This window comes from Homo sapiens, chromosome 3 (genome assembly GCF_000001405.40).
Source record: "Homo sapiens chromosome 3, GRCh38.p14 Primary Assembly".
Lineage (NCBI taxonomy): Eukaryota > Metazoa > Chordata > Mammalia > Primates > Hominidae > Homo > Homo sapiens.
In genome coordinates this window covers 169,371,405-169,387,602 of record NC_000003.12, presented here as the reverse complement: position 1 = coordinate 169,387,602, position 16,198 = coordinate 169,371,405, and the positions used below count along the sequence as shown (strand labels likewise).

At 36.0% G+C, this 16,198-nt stretch overlaps 1 protein-coding gene across 6 annotated transcripts in view; it reads left to right on the top strand.

Annotated features, from left to right (window-relative positions):
- The window catches only part of MECOM (MDS1 and EVI1 complex locus), a 580,206-nt gene that overhangs the window by 276,110 nt on the left and 287,898 nt on the right, over positions 1-16,198 (top strand). For 5 of the 6 annotated variants that reach the window (NM_001366473.2, NM_001366466.2, NM_004991.4 and 2 more), the window contains exon 2: positions 6,079-6,416. The exons of the other annotated variant lie outside the window; for it this stretch is intronic. In NM_001366473.2, coding sequence (NP_001353402.1) covers positions 6,079-6,416 — 338 coding nt within the window. The remainder of the gene's footprint in view (positions 1-6,078; positions 6,417-16,198) is intronic. 6 annotated transcript variants of the gene reach the window in all.

Genomic DNA, 16,198 nt, shown 5'->3' with positions numbered 1-16,198 from the left:
ATTAAACTTTTTAGTTGCTGAATATTTTCTATCAATGAACTAATGTGAAGAGTAGAGAGAAAAATTATTCATGTTACTATCACTAATGATAATGCTGAGTGATAAGTATTATGATGGGCATTAATGGTGAAACTCAGGATTTTGAATGGCATCTGACCAGATTTGCAGTTAAACTAGGCGGAAAGGCCAAAAGAAACAAATGGTGAGTTATATAAAACCCACAAAAAGAGAAGGCATTTAGGCCAGCCTTGCAAATAAGAACCGAAGAATTACGAGTGAAATGGCATTTTTTTCTAGCCTGCCGTTCACAGGCGCTCAAATAAATGAAATCATTTTTTTTTCTGCTTTTCACTCAGCAGTAAATCACTCATTGGTAATCCAAGGTTGGTAGAAAAGCAACTATGAAACTCAAAGAAAATTCAAGGGAATCTTTTTTTCCCTTCTGTAGGTAAGGACTTTGTAAGAAAAATGTAAAAATCACAAAAGACATATAGACTTAGTTCCATAAAAGTTAAAAAAAATCGAAATACCAAATGGCAAATTGTCTACTAGGAAATTTTAAAATACAATATCCAAGGGCTAATTTATTTATCATTAATAAGACAGACATGAAAGCCTAATTAAAAGTGGGCAAAAACAATGAACAATTTGCAAATAAAGAAGTTTGAATGACAAATAAGAATATTTAGTTTCTGTAATCAACTGAGATGTGAATTAAGCAGTAATAGATATATAATTTTCTTTATTAAAAACAAGACATAATAATAAATGCCAGTATAATTGGTAGAAGTGTAAATTGCTATACACTTTCTGAAAAGCAATCTGTCAATACCCACTAAGTTTTCTTATAGGAATCTAACCTAAGGAAATTGAAATGGATGACAATAAAAATTTATGTTAAGGAAGGCTCATTTTCATGATATTTATGATATCAGAAAATTAGAAGCAACATAAATAAAATCCATGGAAGTAGTTCAGCTGTTGTGGATTCCTATAATGGAATATTATAAAGCAATTAAATGTAGTTTTAGAAAATAGTAAAATACACATAAGGAAGGGTTTATAATAAACTATAATCCAATGAAAAAGTCAAAAGCCAAAGTATTCACACATTATGGCTACGATTTTGATAAAACAAACAAACTTTAAAACATATCTTTAAGGATCGAAAAACAAGTTGCCTAAGAGTTAAAGGGAGGACTGGGTTTGGACACCCAGCTAGTCTCAGCTGACTTTGGATATATTGAATATCAGGTCCTACATCTGGAAAATGGAAGATTATTCTTATCATCATTTTCTCAATGGATTGTTTTGAGCATTAAAATGAGAAAATGTGGATACATCTATGGAAGTTACTATTATTGGTATTATTTCTGCAATTTCTTCTCTTTGAAGGTTCTGATATGTTTCCAAAATGGAATACTTCTGAAGTGGAAACCTATGGTAGTTATTCAAAGACACATATAAATAAATATAATCTAATCAAAATGTGGCCTTTCCCTTGGTCTCTGAGGAAATTAGAACACTTAAAATTTGAATTGAAGAGGTTGACTTCCAAGAGCAATTTCCCAAATCATTTGTCTCAAATCCAACAATATGCTTGTCTTTCTTTCCTCACTCAGTTAATGACATGCCTAAAGGATGCATGAAGCAAATTACAGTAGCAGACAGCTCAGCTCCAAGAAGTTACAAGTGTTATTTATCTTTATGGGACCACTGATATATATGGCACTTCTTACCTGATACTTACCTATTGTAAACGTGCCCAATCTGTCAGTGTGATATCTGAGAAATGCTTTAATTAACTATAGTTATAGCTGAGGGAAAGGATCTACCAATTTTCCCCAATAACAGAGATTTAATGGGGATATGATAATTGAAGTAATTTATCATTTAGATGAAATGTTTTAGCAGCTTTTTGGATAGTTTTTGAGTAATGTATATGGAGGCATTATTTTATTTTGGTTTATGCAAATATTCAATGTGGTGTGATAAACTGCATTTGCTGTTGAAAATTTCATAATGCTAGATTACATTGAAATATTGTTGCATGTTTTGATACGTAAAACTCAGCAGTTTAATATTTTCGCTTTTGTCATCACAGCCTTTTTTACATTTAATTTGGATGATACTAGATTAAAAGTGGCTTCAAAACAAATTGCCTGCACTTGCATATATATTTAGTGCTTGCATATGGATGAATAGGTCCGTGAGTTCTTCTTGTGGATTTGCTTGACCTATGTAAGTTGTTCTTTAGGTTTAATTGTACATTTTTGTCATTGTAAGCAGAATTGCATTCAGGCTTTAAATTCAAATTCTTCTGTGCAGCTGCCTGGGCACACACATGTATTTTGTCTCCACAGGAACTGAAATCTAAATGCACTCGCTTAGATTATGCATTGGGAGAGTTTGTGGGTAATTCAGAGGTCATGGGATAAGCTATGCCAGTGGGAGGGCACAGATGGGCTTGTCTCTATGCTTTTTTTTTTTTTTTTTTTTGAGACAGGGTCTTACTCTGTTGCCCAGGCTGGAGTGCAATAGTGTGATCTCGGCTCACTGCAACCTCTGTCTCCCGGGCTCAAGCAATTCTTGTGCCTCAGCCTCCAGAATGGCTGGGACTACAGGCATGCACCACTATGCCCGGCTAATTTTTTGTATTTTTAGTAGAGATGGGGTTTCGTCATGTTGCCCAGGCTGGTCTCGAACGCTTGAGCTCAGGCAATCCACCTGCCTCAGCCTCCCAAAGTGCTAGGGTTACAGGCTGGAGCCACCACACCCGGCCTCTATCCTTTTTTAAAGATCACTTTCATGAAACTGAAAGTATGACTGATTTGACACTTTGAGGAAGTAGGGGAAATTTTACTGATCTTTAATAGATAATTACGGGAGGAATATTGTTCTATTTATTTTGGTGCCTTTTGGTTTCCTCCCGCTTACATGGACACATTTATAGAGTACACAATGTTTTACAATTTATATTTCTCAAGAAAAACAGAATTCTAACAATGGGGGAGAAATCGCTTTAAGAATGTGTAAAATAACTTTGCATTTGCAGTAGTTGAATGTTACAGTTCTAAAGAGATGTTTTTATAGGTTTTTACCTGTGCTAAGACCATTAATGAGCTTTTAAATGTTAGGTTGAATTGCAAAATCTCCCTGAACGATAAAATTAGATGGATTTTGTTGAGTATGTTTGGACCTTAAAGTATACTTCTCTGATAATATTTCTTTGGAGAATTATTAAAATTGTTTCCTTTGATGTTGGGTTTGGAGAAAAGTGGACAATTCATCATGTTCTATTTCTACAGGTTTAAAGGTGCTTTGTAGGATCAAAAGTTTCCTATATTTGGTAAAAAAAAGTATTGATTTGGATTCATAGTTTAATAAAATTATATGTTAGATTAATTATATATTTAACAAGTGTTTGTTAAACACCTATATGCAGATCACTTGGACAATTCTGAAAAAGTAAGAGTCCTAGCGTCTCCCATCAGGGACCTATTTCCTACTTGGGAATGAAACAATCATACACATTAAACCATAAGCAGCAATGCATGGTATATGATTGCCAAACTGAGGGATAAAATTGTGTAATAATTCAAGGAAGAGAATACTAGTGTTAAATGGGACGGTGATAGGACCAGCTGGAATTTGACTCAGGAGGAAGACTAGAAGTTTGTCGGGCAGAGGTGCAGAGAGAGGAGTGCCAGGCAGGAAGAACTGAAGAAGAAATACTCACTGAGCTCAGAGGAGAGTAGTAAGTTTACTCTAACTTGGGGGTTCCCTTTGAGGAGCATTGAGAATCAGATGGAAAGGAAGAATGGTTTCAAAACCACAGAGATTTTAGTCCAAACCTAAGAGGTTTATACTTTACCTGCAGACACTGGAGATTATTGAAGGCTGTCAAACAGGAAAATTGGTCTGCCAGGAAGGTAAACTCAGCAGTGTTAAACAGGCTCAGTGTTGATGGATAGTGGAAAGAAGCTGGAGGTTGAGACCCATTTAAAGGACTATGAAAATATTTAGGTGTGAAAATGTGGATTTGAAAGAATTGGATGAAGGTTAGAATCTTGCAAGAAGAACAAATAGCATTTAGTGACTGAACAGTTTGGAAGACAAAGGAGAGAAAATGGCTATGTTATTTTAAAGCCTCAGACATGGATAATTAAGGGAGAGATGGTATTCATAGTAGAAAGAGGAAAGTGAACAAGAGAATCAATTTGAGGGCAGATGATAAGGTACAATATTTTGGACATGCTGAACTTGAATGATAATGAGCTTGTATGTTGAGAACCTATGTCCCATAGGTATAAGGTTGGGTTCTGGAATTCAGTTATATGCTTGGTTTAAATGGCATTATCTCAGTGTTTGAACCAAGAACCAAGCACCTCATTAAACAATACTTTTGCATGTGCTATCACTTTACACTTCACAAAACTTTAAGAGACAGGAGTCATTACTTGATGGGCAATTGATGATGAGTGTTATAGTCTGTTACAATAATAAATCTGAATAATGAAGGTCTTCTATCTTCTAGCCCAATAAACTCTCTTAGAAGACTTTAATTGATAGAACTGCGGGGTTGGTAGGGTCTTAAAGTCACCTAGTTTAATCAGCAACTTGATGCACGAGTTAGGGATGATGCATCATCCTTAACTCGTGGTTATCCAGGCTATAGTAGAACACTGATCATGGAGCTGGAGGCAACCCATTTTACCTTCTTTTTTTATTTTTTTTATTTTTTTTTTTTTTTGAGATGGGCTTTCAGTCTCTTGCCAGGCTGGTGTGCAGCAGTGACACAATCATAGCTCATTGTAGCCTTCTCAAGTTCAAGCAATCCTCCCACCTCAGCCTCTCAAGTGGCTGGGACTACAGGCGCATACCACCACACTCAGCTAATTTTTCAAATAATTAACCTTTGACTAGCTCGATCGAAGTCTGTTTCTTCGTAATTTTCATCTGTTTTTCTTAGTTCCTTCCTTGAAGTTCTATGAATCAAACAAATCAGGTATGACTTTCAATTTGTGATCCTAGCAGACAAGAAATGTATTCATTTGCTCTAAGACAACTGAAATCCCCTTTGATTGGTTTCATAAAATCCCCATACAAGTTTCATAGAGGTCTTAAGGTCTCCCACGGTCCACTCGTTTACTTCAAGTGTGGCGCCGTGCTGCCTTGGGGGTCCTCAGGTCCTCCGTGCTCAGTGTCGTAACTCCTAGCTATCCAACCCTGCTGTCTGTTCAAAGGTCTTGCCACCTCCCCAGGTGCTGCTCCGTAAAGATGAGCAGTGCCCCATACAAAGCGTTTCTGATCTCCCTCATTTCTCTGTCTGGAGGAAATTCTCTGTCTTTTTGGTGCATCTCAAGGGACCCTTCCTCTCCCTTTCCCCGCTGGAAAATTTACCCAATTTCTTTAACGATTTTAGCGTTTACGAATACCCAGAGGCATCACTGGCTTCAGGTAACTTTAACTTTCTTCTCTGCATAAGTTACTGAGGCAAGGAAATACCAAGGGCTTGGTGACATGTTCAAAATTGGAAAGGAAATATAGAGAAAGAAAAAACACTAATATTCCAATAAATAATCCTGCCACACACATTTAAGCCTTGTGGCACATGGCAGCCTTTGGAATCTTTGATGACTCTCCTATGTTTATTCCAAGATAACATTGCATGACAAAACTTTCTAATATATTTTAGAATCCTGTCAGCTCCCAATTTGGAATTGTTTGGGGGTTGTAGTTACACACATGTTTAACTTCTTGTCTGTACTTTAGTCAGACCAATAATGAAGTTGCTGATTGTTTCCCAGATGGATAATGAATTGAACTAGCCCATGCAAGTATTGACAATTGAGGATTAGCTCATTTGATTTATGGATTCACCACAGATAAACCACAGAGGCCATAATCTCTAGCCTCTCCCTGGCCTGTAAATAATAAAGATTTTAATGAAGGCACATCGTAACAATGGTCTTTCCTGTTTATCCTTCAAAGAACAACATAATAAGGTGGCTACCCCTGTGGAATTTTGTCTCTTCAATATCAGAAGGAATTCATGAAGTTCTTATTTATTCACAGATAATGAGTGTGTATATGGCAACTACCCTGAAATACCTTTGGAAGAAATGCCAGATGCAGATGGAGTAGCCAGCACTCCCTCCCTCAATATTCAAGAGCCATGCTCTCCTGCCACATCCAGTGAAGCATTCACTCCAAAGGAGGGTTCTCCTTACAAAGCCCCCATCTACATCCCTGATGATATCCCCATTCCTGCTGAGTTTGAACTTCGAGAGTCAAATATGCCTGGGGCAGGACTAGGAATATGGACCAAAAGGAAGATCGAAGTAGGTGAAAAGTTTGGGCCTTATGTGGGAGAGCAGAGGTCAAACCTGAAAGACCCCAGTTATGGATGGGAGGTAAGAATGTATTTTGAGTTAACACATTTATATATTGCAGCTGTGTAAAGAAGAGATTGTTTAAGCATCCACAAAATAAGCAAATTATATTTGTTACAATATGTTTTCAACAGGTTTTTAAGAATAAACTTCCTTTACAATCTCACTTCTTAATACAAACAATGTATTGATTAAAGGTATAGCGTGATAGGAGGGAACCCAACCTAATATATGGTTAAAGAATTGTACTGATTTGAAAAAATACTAAAGGAAGAAGATATGATTTTATAGTTAACGTTTGGAAACATTGGCTATGACCATGTGTAGCATGTGGCATTAGCAAACAAGCATAATCATATGACATGTTTATTGCATTTTATCTTTTTTGGGGTGGGGAGTTGGAGGATTGGAGGAAAACATTTGTTTTCTCTATTTTGTGACTATGAGTTAATTTGGTTTTATTTTCATTTTGTGCTATGTTTTTCTAATATATTTTGCCTCTCTTTTGATAACCCTGCTTTAATTATACATGCTTCCAGAATGTCAGCACTGTACTCATCACTGAATTAGGTTATGGTTCTTTATATTCAAATGATTTAATGAGTAATTTGTGCATCAAAACAGACGCACAAAATGGTTGTGAAAATTAGTCACTCGTTTCAGTCATATTTTTCATAAAATCCATTTGGCAACATCTAAGAATTAGAAGTTATAGTCTGATTAAAGAATCTAAATTAAATTTATTTCAATAAAGACAGGTAACTATGTTATTCTTCTGAGTGTAAGTTTTATACAGATTCAGTAGATATATATACTTTCCATTTATTTCTGTAACTTGAAAACTTTTGTGCTTGAATCATTACATCATAATTTCTGGAAAATCTTGTTTCTATCTGAAAAACTTGTAGACAGTTTCTGCAGGGGTAAGATATTTTTTAGAGATGTGATTGACCTTTGGTTTCATAGCATTTCAGTAGACAGAAATCAGATAAACTGGATTTATTTCGGTATGTTTCCTTAATATTTATGATCATTAATAGAATATCTGGTTAGCTTTTAAATAGAAATGAATATTCAGTGCCTTCAGGACTTAATTTCAACTTTTTGTCCTCTTGCTTTATATGTATCCTCTTGTGAAATCTGTTCAAAATGCCATAATAAAAGCAATTCTTGTTCAAATTCTGAAATGCCAGAATCCGGCTTTGACATGATTCAAGTGGGAAATCCTTCCTTAGTTTCATTCTTAACCATAGCCCCAGTAAAGCTGAGGTTTAGCTGCATTGCCTTTAGACACGTGTACTGATAAGAGAGTTTTTAAAAATCACTGTAGCATTAACTGATATGTGAGTTGAATACGTTTTAAACCAAATGCGTACGAACTTTACGTCATTATTGTTCACCTTAAAATAATGGCTATAAACATTCTAATAATAAGTAACTCATTAAACTTTTATTACAAAATCTCCACAGTTAAGCAACAAGTGCAATACTCATCAAGATTATCCAGAAGGCTTGGAATAAACCACAGCTTAATAATGAAATCACTTTTCAATTACAGGCTTGGTAAATGCAGGACTGTGCCGTTTTAAACATAATACCTATGGATTGGTGGATGAACCTGGGGAAAATTCTGCATTTGGAGGAAATTCAAAAATAATTATTTTTTTCTCCTTGGAGTGAAATGTCTTCCACATATACACTGGCAAATATTTACCTTGAGAAATGTAAAATGATTTTTTTCATTATGTCAAAACTGAGTTGTTTTTATTGCTTGGAATTCAAGACACCTTTATAAAATAGTTCCTGACTTTTTGGCCGAAAATCACATATTCCCTTTCTCCTCTTTCTCCTTCAAGAATTCAGTTGATGGCCAATTCAGTAGCTTTTCCCATCATTTTAACGATTACCCTTCCTTTTGAGAATGTGGCTTGTCTGCTCTTTAGGTATTATAAAAAAACCAAAGAAATGACTTTTTGTAATTTTGGCAAACTTGTTTTCCACAGAGGAGCAGTTGAGCTCTTGATTCTTCTTAGGGTTTTTTTTTTTTCTCTTTTAATCTTACCTAGTTAATACAAAACCCAATCATGATTAGCAAGGGCACTTTCTCAAAGGCATCTCACCCAACCCCTGCCGGATGACTTTTATTTGTCCCCATGTCATCTTTTTCTCAACTCTAGCTGGTTTTCCTCCTATTTAGTTAGAGATAATTGTGATTAACTAGTGTGACCTCTCTTTTTGATATGCCTTCATTTTTGAAAAAAATGATGAAGGAGAAAAAAAAACCTCTTAGGCCTCCTCCCAAATAAATACAGAGAAAATCCATGTTCAGCAAACAATTATTGAGGGACTACTATGCATCAGATTCTGCATTAAATGTTCCCCTAATGGAAACTCAGCCTATCATAACTGAACAAATCATTGCTGTCTCTAGTAGGGCCCTTGCTCTTTTCTTCCTGCAAAGCTCCCCTTCTTATACATTTCCTGTTTTAATAAATTCCATTGCCATCTATCTAGTTGTTCAGTCCAAAAAAATGTGTCATTTTGACACATTTCTCTCCCATATCAACCATGTCTAATTGATGGTTTCCATATTGTATTAAGTCCCCAAACTTACTTACTTACTTTCTTTCTTTCTTTCTTTCTTTCTTTCTTTCTTTCTTTCTTTCTTTCTTTCTTTCTTTCTTTCTTTCTTTTCTTTCTTTCTTTCTTTCTTTCTTTCTCTCTCTCTTTCTTGCTTGCTTGCTTGCTTGCTTTCCTTCTTTCTTTCTTTCTTTCTTTCTTTCTTTCTTTCTTTCTTTCTTTCTTTCTTTCTTTCTTTCTTGTCTTCCTTCCTTGCTTCCTTCCTTCTTCCTTCCTTCTTTCCTTCCTTTTTCTTTCTTTTTTGGTCTTATACTTTAAGTTCTAGGATACATGTGCAGAACATGCAGGTTTGTTACATAGATATACACGTGCCATGGTGGTTTGCTGCACCCATCAACCCGTCATCTACATTAGGTATTTCTCATAATGTTATCCCTCCCCTAGCCCCCCACCCCCTGACAGGCTCTGGTGTGTGATGCTCCCCTCTCTCTGTCCATGTGTTCTCATTGTTCAACTCCCACTTATGAATGAGAACATGCGCTGTTTGTTTTTCTGTTTCTGTGTTGGCTTGCTGAGAATGATGGTTTTCAGCTTCATCCATGTCCCTGCAAAGGACATGAACTCATTCTTTTTTATGGCTGCATAGTGTTCCATGGTGTATATGTACCACATTTTCTTTATCCAGTCTATCATTGATGGGCATTTGGGTTGGTTCCAAGTGTTTGCTATTGTGAATAGTGCTGCAATAAACATACATGTGCATGTGTCTTTATAGCAGAATGATTTATAATCCTTTGGGTATATACTCAGTAATGGGATTGCTGGGTGAAATGGTATTTCTGGTTCTAGATACTTGAGGAATCGCCACACCGTCTTCCACAATGGTCGAACTAATTTATACTCCCACCAACAGTGTAAAATCATTCCTATTTGTCCACATCCTCTCCAGCATCTGTTGTTTCCTGACTTTTTAATGATCGCCACTCTAACTGGTGTGAGATGGTATCTCATTGTGGTTTCGATTTGCATTTCTCTAATGACCAGTGATTATGAGCTTTTTTGCATATGTTTGTTGGCCACATAAATGTCTTCTTTTGAAAAGTGTCTATTCATATCCTTTGCCCACTTTTTGATGGGGTTGTTTGTTTTTTATTTGTAAATTTGTTTAAGTTCCGTCTAGATTTGGGACATTACCCTTTGTCAGATGGATAGATTGCAAAAATATTCTCCCATTCTGTAGGTTGACTGTTCACTCTAATGATAGTTTCTTTTGCTGTGCAGAAGCTCTTTAATTAGATCCCATTTGTCAATTTTGGCTTTTGTTGCCATTGCTTTTGGTGCTTTAGTCATGAAGTCTTTGCCCATGCCTATGTCCTGGATGGTATTGCCTAGGTTTTCTTCTAGAGTTTTTATGGTTTTAGGTCTTACATGTAAATCTTAATCCATCTTGAGTTAATTTTTGTATAGGGTATAAGGAAGAGGTCCAGTTTCAGTTTTCTGCATATGGCTTGCCAGTTTTCCCAACACCGTTTATTAAATAGGGAATCCTTTCCCCATTTCTTGTTTTTATCAGGTTTGTCAAAGATCAGATGGTTGTAGATGTGTGGTGTTATTTCTGAGGTGTCTGTTCTGTTCTATTGGTCTACTTTATCCGTTTTGGCACCAGTACCATGCTGTTTTGGTTACTGTAGCCTTATAGTATAGTTTGAAGTCAGGCAGCGTGACACCTCCAGCTTTGTTCTTTTTGCTTAGCATTGTCTTGGCTATATGGGCTCTTTTTGGTTCCACATGAAATTTAAAGTAGTTTTTTCTAATTCTGTGAAGAAAGTCAATGGTAGCTGGATGGGATAACATTGAATCTATAAATTACTTTGAGCAGTATGGCCAATTTCATGATATTGATTCTTCCTATCCATTAGCATGGAATTTTTTTCCATTTTTTGTGTCCTCTCTTATTTTCTTGAGCAGTGGTTTGTAGTTCTCCTTGAAGAGGTCCTTCACTTCCCTTTTAAGTAGTATTTCTAGGTATTTTATTCTCTTTGTAGCAATTGTAAATGGGAGTCCACTCATGATTTGGCTCTCTGTTTGTCTATTATTGGTGTATAGGAATGCTTGTGATTTTTGCACATTGATGTTGTATCCTGAGACTTTGCTGAAGTTGCTTTTCACCTTAAGGAGTTTTTGGGCTTAGACGATGGAATTTTCTAAATATACAATCATGTTATCTGCAAACAGAGACCATTCAACTTCCTCTCTTCTTATTTGAATACTCTTTATTTCTTTCTCTTGCCTGATTGCCCTGGCTAGAACTTCTAATACTATGTTGAATAGGAGTGGTGAGAGAGGGCATCCTTGTCTTGTGCCAGTTTTCAAAGGGAATGCTTCCAGCTTTTGCCCATTCAGTATGATATTGGCTGTGGGTGTATCATAAATAGCTCTTATTATTTTGAGATACGTTCCATCAATACCTAGTTTATTGAGAGTTTTTAGCGTGAAGGGCTGTTGAATTTTATCCAAGGCCTTTTTTGCATCTATTGAGATAATCCTGTGTTTTTTTTCATGGTTCTGTTTATGTGATGGATTATGTTTATTGATTTGTGTATGTTGATCCAGCCTTGCATCCCAGGGATGAAGCCGACTTGATCGTAGTGGATAAGCTTTCTGATGTGCTGCTGGATTCAATTTGCCGGTATTTTATTGAGGATTTTCGCATCAACATTCATCAGGGATATTGGCCTGAAATTTTCTTTTTTTGTTGTGTCTCTGCCAGGTTTTGGTATCAGGATGATGCTGGCCTCATAAAATGAGTTAGGGAGGAGTTCCACTTTTTCCATTGTTTGGAATAATTTTGTAAGTAATGGTACGAGCTCCTCTTTGTACCTCTGGTAGAATTCACCTGTGAATCTGTCTGGTCCTGGGCTTTTTTTGGTTGGTAGACTATTAATTACTGCCTCAATTTCAGAACTTGTTATTGGTGTATTCAGGGATTTGACTTCTTCCTGGTTTAGCCTTTGGAGGGTGTATTTGTCCAGGAATTTATCCATTTCTTGTAGATTTTCTAGTTTATTTGCATGGAGGTGTTTATAGTATCTCTGATGGTAGTTTGTATTTCTGTGGGATTAGTGGTGATATGCCCTTTATCATTTTTTATTGTGTCTACTTGATTCTTCTCTCTTCTCTTCTTGGTTAGTCTGGCTAGTGGTCTATCTATTTTGTCAATTTTTTTTTTAAAAAACAGCTCCTGGATTCATTGATTTTTTTTTGAAGGATTTTTCATATTTCTATCTTCTTCAGTTGTGCTCTGATCTTAGATTATTTCTTGTCTTCTGCTAGCTTTTGAATTTGTTTGCTCTTGCTTCTCTAGTTCTTTTAATTGTGATGTTAAGGTGTTGATTTTAGATCTTTCCCACTTTCTTCTGCGGGCATTTAGTGTTACAAATTTCCCTCTAAACACTGCTTTAGCTGTATACACACTGTTCTTTCTACCTGGGAAACTGTTTTCCTCCCCATCCTTAGCAAGTTTCTATTCATTCCTCAAGTTTGCTTCTTCCATAATATCATCTATGACCTTTCTTTCTTCCTCTTCTTTTCTTTAGAGACAGGGTCTCCCTTTGTCTATGTCACCCAGGCTGGAGTAGTTTGGTGGTATGATCAAAGCTCACTGCTGAGCTAAAGCCATTTTCCAGCCTCAGTCTTCCAAGTAGCTAGGACTACAGATGTGTACCACCATGACTCGCTAATTAAAAAAAACATCTTTTGTAGAGATGGGGTCTCATTATGTTGCCCAGGCTGGTCTCAAACTCCTTTCCTCAAGTGATCCTCTTACCTTGGCTCCCCAAAGTGCTGGGATTAAAAGTATGAGCCACCATGCCCAGCCTTATGTTCTTTCTAATTACAATATATTACTACCTAAATTTTGTCCCACCAAGAAAGGTGGATCCACTTATTAAAGATGAGGGTTATCTTATGTTTTCTTCTAAAGATAGCCATTATGAGACAACGTGAGAATTGCACGCAGAGCAGTAGAAAGCAGGCTTCTGGGGTGAACTTCTTGGGCTGAAAACACTAAAACATTGTGTAGTATCCAGATTATTTACATAGCTTCCCTAACAAAGCAAGAGTTCTTGAGAGCTTGCAAAGGTGTATTCTCCTAGTGCAATGTTTTGATTGTGTTCCATATATTTTTTTAATCCCTGTGGCACTATTCTGAAAATAGTGCCATTAAATGAAATAAGCAGACTGTATTAGTCAGCTTGGGCTACTGTAACAGAATACCATAAACTGGGTGGCTTAAACAATAGAAATTTATATTCACACAATTCTGGAGGCTAGAAGTTCAAGATCAAAATTCCAGCTGCTTTGGTTTCTGGTGAGCGCTCTCCTCCATGCTTGCAGACAGCTGTCTTCTCATCTCATCCTCATATAGCCTTTCTTTGGTGTGCATAAGCAGAGAGAGGGTTGGGGCAGGTGGAGAGAGAGAGAGAGAGGGAGAGAGAGAGAACAAGCTCTCTGCTCTCTCTCCTTATTAATATAAGGACACTAATCCTATTGGATTGGTGACCCTCTCTTGTGAACTTATTTAACCTTAATTACATCCTAATGGCCCTATTTCCAAAAATAGCCCTAATGGGGGTTAGGGCTTCAACATATGGATTTTAGGAGGACACACACATTCAGTCTATAACACAGACATTCAACAAATAATTGTTCAATAAATAAATGAGTGAATGAATGGATAAATGAAAGAATGGATGGATGAATATAGGATTATGTGACTCTGAAAGAGGAGGCAAGGAATGAGAGCTGAAGTAGTCCATGGACAAATCTAGAACCTGGAATTCAGACATGTATAATCCAGTCTTGCTTCTGTCACTAACTGTGTGATTCTAGGGAAACTACTCCAATTGAATGGTCCCTGCTTTTTATTTGGTCAATGGGTCAATAATAACTGCCTCATGATACCCCATTTTCCATGATGTGATTATTATGCATTGCATGCTTCTATCAAAATATCTCATGAATATATTTGCCTACTATGTATCTACAAAAATTAAAAATAAAAACTTAAGAAAAAACTGCCCCACGTCATTAGCCGTTATATAATCAGAATTGAGTAGAGAAATGTGGTAGTCTCTTCAAAGAAAATTTTTAAAAGAGAAAGGTCAAAGATAACATTATAAATAGGGGCCATCTTTCTGAACTTTATTTAAGAATAAAAAATTGAATATATTTCCCAAGTAAGGTACTTTGGAAAATCCTTTGTTTATATGTTAGAGAAATAAGATACTTTTGAAAATATAATTTATAGACCAAAATATATGGTCTGGTAAAAATAAGCTATAGATACCAGAAACATCATTTGTATGATTTTCTCTCAAACCAGTATTTATCCAACCAAGAGAAACTTTAAAAATAATATTAGAGTTTGGCAGCAATTGCCACCTCACAATGCATGTGACTTCTCTCCAACAAAAAGATCTTTAAAGACTTGGAATGTGCTTGTCTAAAGGACTTGAAAATAATTAGTGATAGAAAGCTTTTTCTCAGGTTATGAACTTTAGAGTTACGGATTGATTAAAATTACTGAGTAGAAATAACTTTTTAGAGTTCTGTTGGTTCAGGATGAGGTTTTTCTCATGTTTCCTTCTAAAAGTGCCCACAATGTAGTAACATTGTAACTGCATGCGGAGCAGTGGGAAACAGGCTTCTTCTGGAGTGAGACTTCCTGGTCTCAAGTCCTCCTCAGGGGTCCTGTGGGCTTGAGTGATTTGGGAAACTTTAATTATCTGCCCCTCAGTTTATTTACATGTCACGTAGGAATAATAATTGTATCTAACCAATTAGAGTTGTTGTAAGGGTAAAATGTGACATTGTGTGTCAGGAGCTTAGCACAGAGCTGGCAGAAGAACCCAATAAATGTTAACAAGACAACAGCAGAAGCAGCTTGGCTAAAATGCAGATCTAGCATAGGGTTATTAGGGCAAAAGCCAATTATTATATTTTATCGATTGATTTTTATAAGTTATTGCTCTTTTTCCAATTTCTTGTTTCCTAGAAGTTCAGTTATCTCTGGATGGTCTAATTATTTGACTCTGGGTTGGTTTGAAATGGAAGCACTGACCGTTTTCTAACTAACAATGAAAACGAGGGTTCAGGAGAGATCACAAACTTCTTGTTTACGTGAAAGAAAAATTTAGGTGGCTTAGTTTGTAATACTCTGAGATAAGCCATTGAAAAAAGTAAAAAGTTTGCTTCTTTAAAATATTGCCTTGTGGCACATTTTCTTTGCTGATCTTTATTATCATTGGCCATTACAAAACTCTGCAAGTATAAGTCAGTTGTTGATGCACCTGTCATGTGCCAGACCCGGCTTTGTGTTCATCTCAGCCAGAATTGCTCCAAATTAGTTTAATCAGTTAAAATATTGGCTGTGAACTTAGTTTTCTTCTTTCGAACATACATACATTTACACATAGAACATAATGACATGAGTAGAGAGTGAATATCTCTTATGCTGTGTTAAATAGGTGGAAAGGAATAGTGGAAACAGATTACACTGGAGTCAGAAATTCATTAACTAATTTTGAATCAATGCTTGGGCAATACATTATGTTCCAACAATGTAATCCTAAAATGTGATATTACAATGAAGATGTGCTTCCTTGTGTCATTTTAAAAATAAATAGTTCTCACACTTTTAAGTTTGATTTTAGATTCTACAGTGACACCTTACATATTGAAACAGGCAATCTATGTTAACTAAGACAGGAATATTCATTAAAATGGCAACAACAGCAACATTGCACTTCTAAGATACCTAACAACGGTGGTCAGCATCAGGAGGCTGACAAATAATGTGTGCTTGATAATGAAGAAGAATGAAATAATTTGAGATTTTAGACATATGCAACAGATTTTTTGTGTTTGTTTTATTTTTTATTTTTTGGCTTTATTGAGGTATAATTGGCAAATAATAATTGTATACATTCAAGGTGTACAACGTGATGTTTTGATATACATATACATTGTAAAATGATTACCACAATCAAGCTAATTAAGATACCCATCACCTCATGTAGTTATGTGTGTGTGAGTGTGTGTGTGTGTGTGTGTAGTGAAAATACTTAAGATCTACTCCCTTAGCAAATTTCATGTATACAATACATTATTATTAACTATAGACACAATGCTGTATATTAGGTCTCCAGAATTTATTCATCTTA